Source organism: Homo sapiens, chromosome 5 (assembly GCF_000001405.40).
Source record: "Homo sapiens chromosome 5, GRCh38.p14 Primary Assembly".
NCBI classification, from domain to species: Eukaryota; Metazoa; Chordata; class Mammalia; order Primates; family Hominidae; genus Homo; species Homo sapiens.
Window position 1 is genome coordinate 157,166,265 of NC_000005.10, and position 16,209 is coordinate 157,182,473.

Below are 16,209 nucleotides of genomic sequence, written 5' to 3' on the forward strand. Positions count from 1 at the left end.
GCCTAAATCTCCTGGCACCACCACATTTATCCCCTGCAGTCCTTTGTGACCTGTGCGCATCTCACACCCCTTTGTCCTAGCCTCCATGTAGCTATCCCCTCTGGTCAGTGTCACCAGCCTCCCCCACAAAACAAATCAATGCCTCCACAGGGGAGAGGCTGACCCTGCCTGGGGTGTAGGTGTGGGTAGGCTGGGTGTTCTTTTCAATCAAAATGCTGGGACACATAATTTATGAACCATTCTGCTTTTATAAATATCTGGGTTGTTTCCAGTTTTGCTGTTGTTACAGTTACCCCTTCAAGGATCATCTTCTTGCAAAAATTTTTTTGCTTGGGCTGAATTACTTCCTGGGGGTAAAATCCTGGGTGTGTATGGTGTGCTTGCTAAGGGCAGGGGTGCTGTCTAGATGCTGATCTCTGTGTCTCCAGTGTGTAGGTAGCACAGTGCCAGCAGGCACTCAGGGATAGGTGTTGAATGAATGGTCTGAAGGGACTCCTGCTCCCCATCAGAACTACAGAACCAGGGTTCCATCTGTGTGCTGATTTTCAGGATATGGAGGATTTTCTCACCTAGTCTCTCATTTGAAGCAGTTAATTTTTTTTTTTTAATGGAGTTTCACTCTTGTCACCCAGGCTGGAGTGCAGTGGTGCAATCTCTGCTCACTGCAACCTCTGCCATCCAGGTTTAAGTGATCCTCCTGCCTCACCCTCCCAAGTAGCTGGGATTACAGGTGCCCACCACCACACCCAGCCAATTTTTGTATTTTTAGTAGAGTCAAGGGTTTTTCACCATGTTAGCCAGGCTAGTCTCGAACTCCCGACCTCAGGTGATCCACCCTCCTCAGCCTCTCAAAGTGCTGGGATTACAGGTGTGAGCTACCCCACCCGGCCGGAAGCAGGTTTATTTTTTAAAACATCATTTTAAAGTGAGAAAACCAAGGCTCAGGATTGTCTTACTTGAGGTCAGAGTCCAAAGCTGGATTCTAGGTCAGAGCTTTTTCTCTTCCTCAAGCTGCATGGCTCACTGATAATCTCATTCTGCATCAGAGCTAGTGTCATTGGTAGTTAGTGATGTGTGTGGGGATTTACTGGGAACCACAGGAATTCTTGGAGGTCTTGAATCACCGTAGGATTTCCCACACTGATATGTCTGCTGCTTCAGTCTTGATGCCTGCTTGATAAACCACTGACGTTCCGTTTCTTTTTAAAGCTCTTCTGAGAAATGGTGGCAAAGACATCTTTCTGGAGTTTTTGTTTTGTTTTGTTTTACTTTGCTCAAGGTGAAGAATCCAAATTCCCCCTCCCCCAGCTAGAGAAATACTTCTGAAATAAACATACATTCCGCCAAACTCAATCATTACCATGTGGAGGTCTTGAAATAAACTTCAACCACAAAATGTTATTTTTGTATCCCCCAGTGCCAACTGCAGTGCCTGGCACATTGCAGCTTCGCAGTAAATATAAACTTGCTTGTGCCCATTGAGATTCATTCTTCCATTTATTTATTCAAAAAAGTTTAATGAGCAAGTATTTTGTTTGGGACCAGCTAGAAAGTGGAAATGCAAAGATAAAGTTTCCTATCTCTGAAAAGCTGAAATATTTTTTCTAAAGATATTGAATGACTTTTTGGGGAAAAAAAAGAAAAAACAAAGTGGCATATATTCTGTTATAAGGGAATCATAACTAAAAGTCAACACAATTATGTTAAAAAGTAAGAAGTTGGAGCTATATATAGATGTAGCCATATATTCTTCTCATATGTTCATTTCTGATGAATAATTAATAATGACAGAACTATAATTGTATGATTGAGAACCTGCTATAAGCCAGGCATGCTGTTGCCACCATACATTCTTCTAAACATTTTAATTCTGGCTGGGTGCGTTGGCTCACATCTGTAATCTCAGCACTTTCAGAGGCCAAGGCAGGAGGATCACTTGAGACCACGAGGGAGAGATCAATCTGGGTAAAACATCACAAGACCTTCAGCTCTACAAAAAATAAAAAATATTAGCTATACATGGTGGCATGTACTCAAGAGGCTGAGACCTGTCTCTAAAAAAATAAATAAATAAAAATTTTGATCCTTACAACAAGCCTAAAATGTATAGGTCTCTCCGCATTGCGCCCCCAGCCCTCTTTTTTTTGAGAGTCTCGCTGTGTAGCCCAGGCTGGAGTGCAGTGGCAGCATCTCAGCTCACTGCAGCCTCCACCTCCCAGGCTCAAGCGATACTCCCACCTCAGCCTTCCCAGTAGCTGGGACCAGAAGCACAGCACCACCACATGCCTGGCTTTTTTGTAGAGATAGGGTCTCACCATGTTGGCCAGGCTGGTTTTTTAACTTCTGGCCTCAAGTGATCTGCCTACCTCAGCATTCCAGAATGCTGGGATTACATGCGTAAGCCACCACACCAGGTCAGGTTTCTATTTTATAGAGGGAAAATGAAGGCTCAAAAAAATTACAGGCAGATTGGACACAGTGGCTCACTCCTCTAATTGCAGCATTTTGGGAGGCCAAGGTGGGAGGATTGCTTGAGCTCAGGCGCTCAAGACCAGCCTGGCCAACATGGCAAAATCCCATCTCTACTAAAAATACAACAAAAAAAATTAGCTGGACATGATGGCACATGCCTGTAGTCCCAGCTACTTGGGGGAGCTGAGGCAGGAGGATCGCTTGAGCCCCAGAGGTGGAGGCTGCAGTGAGCCAAAACTGCACCACTGCACTCCAGCCTAGGTGACAAAGTGAGACCCTGTCTCAAAAACAACAACAAAAAAAGAAGTTACAAGAAATTTCAGCAAGGTCACATAAGACCAAAAGCACACCGACATCCCAAAATATGGCAATGGTTAAACTATACTAGACTGACTAGACTGGTGACACTAATAGGACAGATAGAATACAAACATACAAATGCAAAGCAGCATAAATTTATCCATTCACTCCATTAATATAATTAATTGTTTACTTTGTGCCAGACCCTGTTTTAGGTGCAGGAATATAGCAATGGACAAAATAGACAAATGTTCTTGGTCTCATGGAGCTGGTATACAGACAGTAAACAAGTAATTTTTTTCCTGGTACCTGTGTGCTCAATGATAAACCAATAAATTGAATGGCATCTCCAATGCTGGTAAGTGCTGCAGAAAAGTAGGCAAGCAGGATGAGAGTGTGTGTAGGGGAGGGGAAGGTGGTGGTTAAAGAATGCTCAATGAGAAAGGTGTTGCTGTTGTTGTTTTTGTTGTTTAAGAGATGGGGTCTTGCTCTGTCATGTTGCGGGAAGTCAGGGACCCCGAACGGAGGGACCGGCTGAAGCCATGGCAGAAGAACATAAATTGTGATGATTTCATGGACATTTATTAGTTCCCCAAATTAATACTTTTATAATTTCTTATGCCTGTCTTTACTGCAGTCGCTGAACATAAATTGTGAAGATTTCATGGACACTTATCACTTCCCCAATCAATACCCTTGTGATTTCCTGTGCCTGTCTTTACTTTAATCTCTGAATCCCGTCATCTTTGTAAGCTGAGGAGGAGGTATGTTGCCTCAGGACCCTGTGATGATTGTGTTAACTGCACAAATTGTTTGTAGAGCATGTGTGTTTGAACAATACGAAATCTGGGCACCTTGAAAAAAGAACAGGATAACGGCAATGTTCAGGGAACAAGAGAGATAACCTTAAACTCTGACTGCCGGTGAGCCAGGCGGAACAGAGCCATATTTCTCTTCTTTCAAAAGCAAATGGGAGAAATAGGGCTGAATTCTTTTTCTCAGCAAGGAACATCCCTGAGAAAGAGAATGTGTCCCTGAGGGTAGGCCTCTGAAAGAGCCGCTTTGGGGGTGGCTGTCTTTTACAGTCGCAGCTGTAGGGATGAAATAAGCCCCAGTCTCCCGTAGCACCCCCAGGCTTATTGGGACGAGGAAATTCCTGCCTAATAAATTTTGGTCAGACCGGTTGTCTGCTCTCAAACCCTGTCTCCTGATAAGATGTTATCAATGACAATGCGTGCCCGAAACTTCATTAGCAATTTTAATTTCGCCCTGGTCCTGTGGTCCTGTGATCTCACCCTGCCTCCATTTACCTTGTGATATCTTATTACCTTGTGAAGCATGTGATCTCTATGACCCACACCCTATTCATACACTCCCTCCCCTTTTGAAAATCACTAATAAAAACTTGCTGGTTTTATGGCTCAGGGATGTCACGGAACCTGCCAACATGTGATGTCTCCCCCGGACACCCAGCTTTAAAATTTCTCTCTTTTGTACTCTGTCCCTTTATTTCTCAGACTGGCCAACACTTAGGGAAAATAGAAAAGAACCTATGTGACTATCGGGGGCAGGTTCCCCCAACACTGTCACCCAGGCTAGAGTGCAGTGATGTGGTCACAGCTCATTGCAGACTCAAAACTCTTGGGCTCAAGTGATCCTCCTGCCTCATCCTCCCAAGTGGCTGGAACTACAGGTGCACCACACCATACCCTGTTAGTTTTTAAATTTTTCTGCAGAGGCAGGGTCTTGCTATGTTGCCTAGGCTAGTCTCAACCTCCTGGCCTCAAGCGATCCTCCCACCTCAAATCTTCCAAAGCATTGGAATTACAGGAGTGAGCCACTGTGATTGGCCCAGAAGTGACCTTTGAGCAAAGACATAAAGGAGATCAGAGAAGAAGCCATGAAGATGTCTGGGGAAAGAGCTTCTCAGTCAGAGGAAGCAGCAAGGGCCAAGACCCTGATATGAGAGCATGCCTGGTATGTTTAAGGAGCTCCAAGCAAGCTACAGTGATGAAAGTAGAGTGAATTAGGAGGAGGGTCGTTGGAGATGAGGCTGAGAGGCAACTGGGGTGGTGGTGGATGAGCAGATCATGTTGGATAGACCTTGTAGCGCTCTGAGAGGTCTTTGGCTTTGCTCTGAATGGTGGATGATCCAAACCATAAATATAGAAGATGATTCTGGTCACCATATTAAAAAGAGATTGTAGAAGTGCAGGGAAGACAGTAGTAGAGACGGGGCAACTCCTGCAAGAGATGATTTGGGGTAAGACGTGTGTGATAGCAGTGAGAGTAATGAGAAGTGCTCAGCCACCATGCATACTTTGAGGCAACTATTAGGTATGCTGATTTGAACAATTTCCAATAAATATTAGCAAGTAAAAAAGCAAGTTGCTTGGCCTGAGATACTGGGCACACAAAAAAGTATGTCGCAAAATAGCATATGTGGTACATCATATGTTATTTAATGAGAAATTTAAAGTGTGCGTATGTGTGCGTATGAGTGTGTGTGTGTGTGTGTGTGTGTGTTTGAAAGGAACTGGTAGTAGGAGCTACCTTGGGTCAACTTGCTCTCTCAGGGAAGTAGCAAGATGGAGACTTCATTTCTAGGACATTCCCTTCACAGAGTAAGACTTTCATCAGTCATGGATAGCCTTCTTAGGGTGTTGAAAATGTTCTAAAAATTAAATTGAGAGGGCTGTACAACTCTGTGAATATATACCAAACATTACCAAACTATACACTTTCAATGGATGAATTTTATGGTCAATGAAACATATCTCAATAAAGTTATTGAAGATAATAGCAACACGTCAGTCTTGACTTATAGATCCAATCCCATTGTCTTCCATCATTCTCTTAGATAATTAAATAATCCCTGGGCAGGCATGTTAAACAAGGCTTTAATATGACATCAGAAGTACATATTGCCTGCTTTACTTGATTTTTATTTACAAGTTTTGGGTAATGTTTCTTGATGAGGAATGTGGTAGAGCATGGATAAGCTAGAATCCAAATTTTAGAGAGCTTACAATCAGTAGAACACACACTGAAAAAACAGAAGAAAACAGGAGGGCAAGTAAATACACAGTAGAGTGATAACAAATTGGTTGAATGAACGGTGACTCTAATACCCTTTACCATTATATTCAAAACCAACAATAATTGTTTCTTAAGAAGAAAAACAATCAAAATCACAATTCTAAGGATAGTTTTGCATACATTTTAAGTGAGCCTAAGGTTGAAGAGCTGTGAAGAGTGATAACACAAAACAGTATATACAAGGCACAGTATATGCAGACATACAAGATTATAGAAGGCTGAAGTCTAAACGTGCATTGTGGGAAGTGGTTTCAAGTCAATAACTTTTATTCTTCATCTATGATTTTGAAAAGCAAGGGAAGTAGACAGCTATATATAGCCTTTTCAATGAGTGTGCAGCCCAGGGGAGCATTGTGAGCTAGGCAGGATGTGAGGGTGGGGAGATTTCCATACCATACACAGCATGTACAGGCTGGGTAAATCCCCTGGCCTAAAATACAATCCACAGTGCTTTTATGTCAATGTTGCTCAGCAGAGGTGGCGTGGGCTGAGCTGCGGTCAGCCTGGGGCACCTAGGACTTCAGGAAGCCAACCTGATTTCTGCCTTATCTTCTGGCTCTGAAAAGACTACAGTCACCTAACTCTTCCCCTGAGGACCATATGCAAATCAGCCTGCCTCTCTGCCTTGGGTTGAAAAGGAAAATGAACTGGTATACATACAAAAAAGAAGTCAGACAGGGGATCAAAATAATTTTATTTCTCAACATGATGATCCAACTAGCACCGCCTGTCTTCCCCCTCCTATCTCTCATCCTGTCTTGCTTCTTTCCTGCTCCCTGCTCAGCATATTTGGCCCCACTACCAAGCGGAATCCTTCCCTGCTCACACAGGCTTAGGACAACTTCACTGTCTCCACTCCCTGTTTTGCTCTGTTTACAAATCATGAGATGTCCTGCCTCCGTTTACATATTATTTATTTAATGTTACATTGAAGAAACTTGCAGCTAAATTCACACACACAGACACACTCGCACCATAATAAAACACTTAACATTAAAAATAAAGATCAGGCTGGGCGCGGTCACTGACACCTGTAATCCCAGCACTTTGGGAGGCGGAGCCGGGTGGATCACTTGAGGCCAGGAGTTCGAGACCAACGAGGGCAACATGGTGAAACTCCATCTCTAATAAAAATACAAAAATTAGCTGGGTGTGGTGGTGCGCACCTGTAATCCCAGCTATCTGGGGGCCAAGGCACGATAATCACTTGAACCTGGGAGGCGGAGGTTGCAGTGAGCCGAGATCACGCCACTGCACTCCAGCCTGGGTGACAGATCGAGACTCTGTCTCAAAAAAAAAAGATCAGAAACTGTCTACAGGTAGAAGGAGGTAACTGATCCAGTAGCTGGGATAAAATGATTATTCTAAGTAAATATTAAATTTAACTCTGAAAAAATACTGGAAGAATGTAAAATAAATATTAACATTGATTATTTCTGAAGGATGAGATTAGATGTAATTTTTATTTATTTGCTGGTCTGCTCTTTCCACCAAGAATATATTTTACTTTTGTTACCAGAAATATATATTTCAAAAAATTAGCTCTAAGTTTACTAGCCATTTCAGTCATTATTGTCTTCTACGAATCAAACCAATGATTTTTGACAAATGACATATTTTTCTTTTATTTTAAATTGGAAAGTAAAAAATCCTTCCATTTTAACATCTTTTAAATTATGTAAATTAAAAAGCAAAACATTTCTTTACCTTTCCAGTTTTATATGCTGGAATTTTGATATACAAACTTCCTGCTATCACCATGTACATTTAAACATACATTAATATAAACACAAAATATACCTGGAAAAGGTATAGAACAATATGTATGGCTTGTATGTAAAAACAAAACATAAAAACATACAAGCCAAACATATTGTTCTGCACCTTTTCCATGTTAACAATATATCCTGAAGTTTTTTAGGTTGATACATTATGAATATACATTATTGGTTTCCATAACCTTGTAGTGTTCCATTGTAAGGATGCACCATAGATTATTTTACTTGTCTCTCATTGATGCACAGAGAAGTAGTTTCCATTACAAAAAAATACTGCAATAGCCAGGCGCGGTGGCTCACCCCTGTAATCCCAGCACTTCGGGAGGCCGAGGCAGGCGGATCACGAGGTCATGAGATCAAAACCATCCTGGCTAAAGCGGTGAAACCCCGTCTCTACTAAAAATACAAAAAATTAGCTGGGCATGATGGCACATGCCTGTAATCCCAGCTACTCAGGAGGCTGAGGCAGGAGAATCACTTGAATCTGGGAGGCGGAGGTTGCAGTGAGCCACGATCACACCACTGCACTCCAGCCTGGCGACAGAGCAAGACTCCGTCTCAAAAAAAGAAAAAAAAAAAACACTGCAATAAATATCTTGTACAGATACCTCTCTGTGCTCACGCTATTTTTCCCCCTTAGAATTGATAGCTCTAGCAAACGTAAGGTGTTGTTGTTGTTGTTGTTTTCAGAAGAAAGAAGTTATGTAGGTGCCAAAATATTCTGGATATGATTCTTAAATGGATATTAATAAACCTAATTAAGTTTGGATGGGAACCACAAGGAAATTAAAGGGCTTCAAAGCCACATCCAAAGAGGACAATTGAAGGATGTCTTTGGCCTGGACACAAGAGGGCCCTGGAGTTATCCAAAGGGCAAGTCCTCGGACTAGAGAAGGTTGGAGTTGTAGGACTTCAAAAGATAAAGCAACAAAGATGGGTTTTAGGTAACAGTAAGAGAGCAATCATTTATCTGATCCAGCAGCCATTCCCCTACCTCTAGTGGCAACACTCTAGTGTTCCTCAGAGAACCATCCCTCCCCCATCTGTGGATGGGTAGGTCCATGTGGCTGGGTAGGGCTGACTCCACCCCACTCCCAGATCCAGGAGTGTGTCCAGGCCTGGAAAGGGTCAAATGAATATTCCATTGTCTTGGCTCTAATGATTGAGGTACCTGCGAGCATATCATGTGAGCTAGGCCAATGACTCAAAATTCTGGGACTTTTACTAGAACTATAAGGAAAGAGATCTAGCTCCACTGGTAAGATGTTAGCCCAGCAGCCATTTTGCTGCCATGGAGGACAGCTTGCCCATGCATGAAACCAGCTCAGAACTAAAGAATGAAAACCAAAACCTCTGATGTCGTCGTTAAATACCAGCGGACCCAGCAGTGCCAGGTTGAATTGATTTTTCCTTTGTTATAGAAATTGGGTTAAATTAGGTTTTTTCCAACCCAGTTTCAGTTGCGGCCCCAAAGCCCTATATTAATGTGATAAAGGGAATGAAGTACCTCCATCCACACTTGACGCATTAAGAGGCAAAACAGATTCTGCCAGTAATAGCGTTCGCCCACCTTCAGCCTTTAGAAAACAAGGCATGAAAATGCAAGAGAGAGAATGTTGGGGGCTCTGTGTTTCCTCTCACCACTAGCCCACAGGGGAAGGTGGGTGGGTGCTTATCTACCAGAAGCCAACCAAAAGGGACTTTAAGAGACTCTTCAGGGAGCTTGGTGTGAGTCCCAGAGTTTTGCAGCTATAAGGACTAGTGTCTAAATCCCACTGGAGAAACATAATGGTGGAAGTTTGTGGAAGAGCTACTTATTCGGTGTCAGAGGGAAAGGGGGCTCTACTTGGGGCAAATGGTATATCCATCATTGGCTGGGACAGGAGGCCCGAGTCTTCCAGTAGAACCATGGGAGGGAATAAGTGGTATGTGGTTCTGTTTCTTTTTTCTTCATTTGAGACGGGGTCTCATTCTGTCCCCCAGGCTGGATTGCAGTGGCATGATTTCAGCTTACTGCAACCTCCACCTCCCAGGTTCAAGCAATTCTCCTGCCTCAGCCTCCCAAGTATCTGGGACTACAGGCGAATGCTACCACACCCAACTAATTTTTGTATTTTTAGTAGAGACAGGATTTCACCATGTTGGCCAGGCTGGTCTTGAACTCCTGACCTCAAGTGATCAGCCCACCTCAGCCTGCTAAAGTGCTGGGATTACAGGCATGAGCCACCTTGCCTGGCTCTTTTTTCTCTTTATTTAATAGAAATGAGATTTCCCTGTGTTGCCCAAGCTGGTCTTGAACTCCTGGGTTTAAGGGATCCTCCCACCTCAGTCTCCCAAAGTGCTGAGATTACCAGCGTGAGCCCCCATGCCCAGCCTCTGTGGTTCATTTTCAAGGAAATTTTACCCAAGAGGACAACCTATGTCCTGACAGGACAAATGAATCCCGACAGGAGCTGGAACAGCTAAAGCCCAAGGGCTGAGGGTTGGGCTCCTTGGCCAAGGAGAGTGGCAACTCCTACATCAGGGAAACAGTTGTCAGAACCTTCAGCTGGAAAATCTCTGAAAACAGCAAAGCACATGAAACATGCAAGAAAAAGCAGCAATTGTTCATCCACCACATCCCAAGGACATCATCCCCAGATTACTGCTGCAGCTTCATGAACGTTGCACCCTTTACCCCTCTTCCTCTTTTCCCTCCAGCCTGAGCTTCCGACTCAGGTGTGTCAGAAACCAGGCTTGTGTGTGGGAAAAGAGAGGTTAGGACATGGTGGAAAAGCCAACATGCTTCAAATCCTGAAGCAAACCCATGCAAAGTTACGGAAAAGCATCAACTTGAATACATGTTTGGAGTTTTGATTATTACCTTGAACTGAACTGGGCTTTCTTTTTCTTTTCTTTGTATTGTTGTTGTTGTTGTTGTTTTGAGACAGAGTTTTGCTCTTGTCACCCAGGCTGGAATGCAGTGGTTCAATCAGCTCACTGCAACCTCCGCCTCCTGGGTTTAAAGCTATTCTCCTGCCTCAGTATCCCAAGTAGCTGGGACTACAGCCACCTGCCACCATGCCCAGCTAATTTTTGTATTTTCAGTAGAGACGGGGTTTCACCATGTTGGCCAGGCTGGTCTCAAACTCCTGACCTCAGGTGATCCACCCGCCTCGGCCTCCCAAAGTGCTGAGATTACAGACGTGAGCCACCGCGCCCAGCCCCTTTTTCTTTGCTTAACTTTTTATTATGGAAATTTTCAAACGTGCATCGGTGCAAGGAGAGTAGAATAATGATGTACCCATTAGCCAGCTTTAGCAATTATCAAGTCATGGTCAAACAGTTTTCATCCCTTCCCCTACCAATTTCTCCCCCTCCACTGGATTATGATGAAGCAAATCATAAACATTTTATTGTTTTATCAATAATTCAGTGTATGTTTCTATACAAAATAAGGACTATTTTAACATGATAATAGTGCCATTATTACATCTTTTTTTTTTTTTTTTTTGAGATGGTGTCTTGCTCTGTTGCTCAGGCTGGAGTGCAGTGGTACCATCTCAGCTCACTGCAACCTCCGCCCTCCAGGTTCAAGCGATTCTCCTGCCTCAGTCTCCCAAGTAGCTGGAATTACAGGCACACAGCACGACACTCCACTGACTTTTGTATTTTTAGTAGAGACAGGATTTCACCATGTTGGCCAGGCTGGTCTCGAACTCCTGACCTCACGTGATCCGCCCACCTTAGCCTCCCAAAGTGCTGGGATTATAGGTGTGAGCCACCACACCCAGCCCATTATTACATCTTAAAAAATAACAAGTTTCTCAGTATTATCAAACATCTCTTTAACATTCAAATTTGTCTAATTGTCTCATAACGTCTTTATACAGTTGATTTGCTTAACTCTTAATCCAAAGTCCAAACATGCTCATATGTCTCTTAAAGTCTCTTTTAATCTAAGGGTTCCCCCTTTGATTTATTTGTTGTTTTGTTTTGCTTTTGTTTTTTGAGACAGAGTCTGGCTCTGTTACCCAGGCTGGAGTACAGTGCTGCAATCCCAGCTCACTGCAACCTCCACCCACTGGGCTCAAGTGATCCTCCCACTTCAGCCTCCCGAGTAGGCGGGACTACAGGTGTGTGCCACCATGCCTGGCTAATTTTTTGTAGAAAAAGGGTTTCACCATGTTGTTCAGGCTGGTCTTAAGCTCCTGGGCTCAAGCAATCCACCCCCTTGACCTCCCAAAGTGCTGGGCTTACAGGCATGAGCCACCGTGCCCTGCCCTCTATGACTTATTTGTTACTGATACTGAGTCATTTGTCCTTAGCATGTTTTGTATTCTGGACTCATCCAATTGCATCTCCACAGTGTCATTTGTCAGGTTCGTTTATCTCTTGTATTTCCTGTAAACTCGAATTTATATCTCGAAGTTTGATTAGATTTGTGTTTGATTTTGTTTTCTCTTGGCAAGACTCCCGAGTTGCCAGTTTTGTGTACTTCCTCTTGCTTCACCTCAGGAGACATACAATGTCTGGTTGTCCTTCTTTTAAGATTAATCAGTGTGTTACAGTGTTGTCAGCTTCATATGACAGTTATACATTTTCCTATTGGCTTTTTGCGTAATAATTTTAACAGCCATTGATGATCATTGCCTACATTTATTATTTCATTGGCATTGCAAAACGATAGTATTCTGTCACTCCTTCATTGATTAGTTTCTTGGAAAAAAAGAACTTCCTCATTAAATACTTGATCACTGAATTGAAAGATAATTCTTCAAGAAAAGCAAGCAATATGTTTTATTTTTTTCCTTTGTTTCCAGTTTTCAGAAAAACAAGTTGGTTCTTCAGCATCCTCCAAAAGTGATCAAAAGGTTGGGATGCTTTTTTCAATTCTCTTTTGAACTCATTGTTTTAACATTTTTGCTGTTCTTCAATTCATGGCAATTATTATTCCTTTTGATACTCAAATTGTTCCATCTTTGGCAAGTGGGAACTCCTTGAATTTGGCTCCTATGAAGTGAACTTTTTAAAACCAAAACAAACAAAGGGACTATTTGTTTTTGTTTATGTTTTCCTTAAAGTGAGAAAAAAATATTGAGCCTCCTAAGTTTGCATTTAAAAGTTGGCAAAGATGAGTCTCAGTTAGTGGGTTTGATGGCTCTATGAGAAAGAGAATAAAATTACTTACGATGACACTCCATGTAGACTGAGCAAACGAAAGACTCCTAAGTATTGCAACAGCTACTGATGATATTTTGTTTTCCCGGATGAGAACACTTTGTGAAGTCTATAACTCTTTTCATCTGAACCAAGCAGGTGTAAAATGTACTTTCCTCAGAGGAGTTTGTAGTCTAGTTTGAGAAGATAGCACTGTATTATCTAGGTTTGCTGGTAGTGACAGAAACCTCAAAATAACTGAGACTTAGAAAATAGATATTAAAAAATGTAATCCAGGGCTGGCATGGAAGATCCATGGTCACCAGGGTCCCAGGCTCTTTCTATCTTATACTCCATTGTCCTCAACATTCAATTTCCACCTCATGATACTAGATAGCTGCTTCAGCTCCAACTGTTACCTCAATATTCTAGTCACAAGGCAGGAGGAAAAGGGAAAGAAAAGGGGATGACAGATCCCACTAAGGAAATTTCCTAGAAGTTGTGCACACGACTTCTGCTACATTCAGTTGACCAGAAGACAGTCATACAACTACACCTAGCTACAAGGGAGGCTAAAATTTGTAGTCTTTATTCTTGCTGGCCAGATGCCCAGATAACTGTCAGGGATTCTGTTACTCTAGTAAGAAGGAGAGAGTAGCTATTTGGGAATAGTAGCAATCCCTACCTCAAGCCCATACTCAGAAAAAAAAAATACTATCTTGTTTGGGCAGTGTATTTCCACACATATGTCTTAAGAATCTCAGAATGGGGGAGGTAATTTAAAATATACCAGTACCGTACCCTCCTGGGTGTCTTGATTATGCTGGGGCATCCAGTATATGAAATAAAATTAGGCTGTTGTCTGGTAATTTACATTTAAAAATAAACATTGGAGAATTTCACTCCTATACAGCAATAATTATTATTTCATTTATTATTTATCCCTACCCACTACATGCAATATCTGCTTACACTAAAATCTCTTGATTATTAACATAGTAGAGGTAACTGTCACACATTATACTTCAACTATGTACTAACTCTAAGGTGACATGTATGACTAGCACCTACCATTCATAAGATGTATGGGATTCAGTCCTCCAAAGGACCCTCACAAGGAAGCTAAGGATCAGAGAAGTCATGGCTTGCTCAAAGAGAAACAGCATAGTAAGTGACAGAGCTGGGAATCCAACACAAGTTTGTCTGTTTTCAAAGCCCACATATACTTTGTTTATTATGCCATTCTGAAGGATTCACTTATTTTTCACTCTTCCACAAAACGTCAGGACAGAAAGGCAGTCATCTATATGTAGCATTGAGAAATTTCTATGGGCTTTAATTTAAATCTTAAAAACTAATAAACTTCAGCAACATATTTCTTCACTTTAATGTGTGAGGGTTTTGTGCTCATTACCTCTTTTAATTGTCCAACCCAATTTGGTGATGATCCATTCAACAAATTTTTCTTGAACATCTGTTTTATGTGTCAGGTACTGTGATGGTTGCTGAGTATATCATGGTAAGCAAAACCACACATTGTCCTTACTCCTTGTGCTACATGATTTAACTGCTGGATGGATTAAACCAGGAACTATAAAGATTAAACTGTAATCCTTACCACAATTTTGAGTTTACAGTTTTTCAAATATCATTTCAAGCCATTAGCAAAGGCTGTATGTATTTTTTACATATGCCTCCTCGTTTTGTGAATTTTGAAAGGATGTGGTTTCGGCCTTTGACATCAGAGGAGAAGCTCAGCTATGTTGGCTGAACGTTGATAGAAAGATAACGTTGAAGGCAAGTTGCCCTTGAGCAGCTCTCTGAAGATCAACTGCCTCCACATTGCATTCTTTGCCCCAAAACTCTTTCCTTTGGTTGTGCTAAGAGGTGATGCCCAAGGTGCACCACCTTTCAAGAACTGGATCATGAACAACTTTATCCTCCTGGAAGAACAGCTCATCAAGAAATCCCAACAAAAGAGAAGAACTTCTCCCTCGAACTTTAAAGTCCGCTTCTTTGTGTTAACCAAAGCCAGCCTGGCATACTTTGAAGATCGTCATGGGGTATGTGAGCAGTTTCATTTGTCTTTTTTCGCATAGCATTTTATGTTTGGACTGGGCTAATGCAAAAATATATACATAGCATAAAATAGAGCACAGGAAACACAAACATGCTTATTGTAACAACATAAAAAGTACAGTAAAAGTAATCAGAGGAGAATGCAGAGAGCAGTCAAGAGGTGAAATGGTGGTGCTAGGTGATTTCAGTTCTAAAAACTGTAAATTTAACATTCATCAGCTTTTTCCCCCTGCAAGGTTATGTTTGGTTTTTAAATTATGAATAACATTTTAGGTAGCAAGTATTATGATTCGATAAAACTTGAACTTTCTATGAAACATACTAAATTTAATGAAACATACTAAATTTAATGAAACATAGATTAATACAACACTAGCATTCAATGGGATGATCTACCCCAGCTTTCTTATTTTTTAGTGGAAGAAACTGGTGTTTAGAATGGTTAAGTTTTGGGTTCAGTGTTAACGTTTTCATGAATAACTCTGTTTGTCTCAATACTCGTCGCTAGCCTGATCTTGAAATAAGATTTCCCAGGCATTTAATTATCTAAAAGTTGTAAGGCACAATGGCAAACCTCTTCATCTCTTGATAGACTTCTTAGGACACCAGGGTTATTAAGAACAAAGTTTCTGCAGTGCAGACCAGCGGTTCTTACCCAGAAGGAGTATGGCTGCTTTGCTAGGTCAGTCTATCTCTTTATCTAAAAATAGTCTTGTGCTTCTTAACATCACTAATAACAAAAGCAACAGGAATAATCCTAATAATGTAGTTTGGTAGAAAAAGCATTGGACAAAGGGTCAGGAGACCAAACTCTACTTCTCAGTAGGTGATCCAGTCTGGGCAAATGTCTACCTCCTGTTTCAGGTTCTTTCTTCATAAAATGAAAAAACTGGAAATAACAACCTTCAAGATCCCTTTCTTCTTCAAAACTTCTTTGCTTTATGCAGTGGCTCTTGTTTAGCCCTATGCTGCAATTTTTCAAAGCATGTTTGATTTCTTACTGTATGGTTATATTATTTTTACATCATTAGTGGGGTAGGACAAGGATTATCACTTATATTTTACTGAAGGGAAAATAATATTAGGTGCCTGATGGTCACTTAGAAACAAAAGTGCTCCAGTTCTTTGTTGGAGTCTGACTTAGTAGGTGGTGGCATGAGTTTGGGATTCTTTGGTGTGCCAGGGTTTAAAGCACTTCATGAGATGGAGCTCCAGAGGAGGTCAGGCTGGGTATAGAGCCTATGGATGCCTCACTTTTTAAAGTTGCAGGTGTTGCATGTCTTTTGTGAATTAAAAAAATACAGAAAACAAAAAAGTTGCAGGCGAAATAGCTCTGCCTCTT

The 16,209-nt window shown here is 41.7% G+C and overlaps 1 protein-coding gene across 1 annotated transcript in view, besides 2 other annotated features; it reads left to right on the forward strand.

The window, feature by feature from the left end:
* Positions 5,983 to 6,092: an enhancer, noted in NCBI's record as "active region_23500". NCBI's record gives its function as "activates an Ori minimal core promoter by ATAC-STARR-seq in GM12878 lymphoblastoid cells {active_cell/tissue: GM12878}" and the evidence as "EXISTENCE:reporter gene assay evidence [ECO:0000049][PMID:35858748]".
* Positions 6,133 to 6,412: an enhancer, noted in NCBI's record as "active region_23501". NCBI's record gives its function as "activates an Ori minimal core promoter by ATAC-STARR-seq in GM12878 lymphoblastoid cells {active_cell/tissue: GM12878}" and the evidence as "EXISTENCE:reporter gene assay evidence [ECO:0000049][PMID:35858748]".
* Positions 14,576 to 16,209, forward strand: part of ITK (IL2 inducible T cell kinase) — a 74,346-nt gene continuing 72,712 nt past the window's right edge. Inside the window, exon 1 of the mRNA NM_005546.4 lies at positions 14,576 to 14,851. Within this exon, the coding sequence (NP_005537.3) occupies positions 14,714 to 14,851 (138 nt within the window). The 5' untranslated portion in view covers positions 14,576 to 14,713. The remainder of the gene's footprint in view (positions 14,852 to 16,209) is intronic.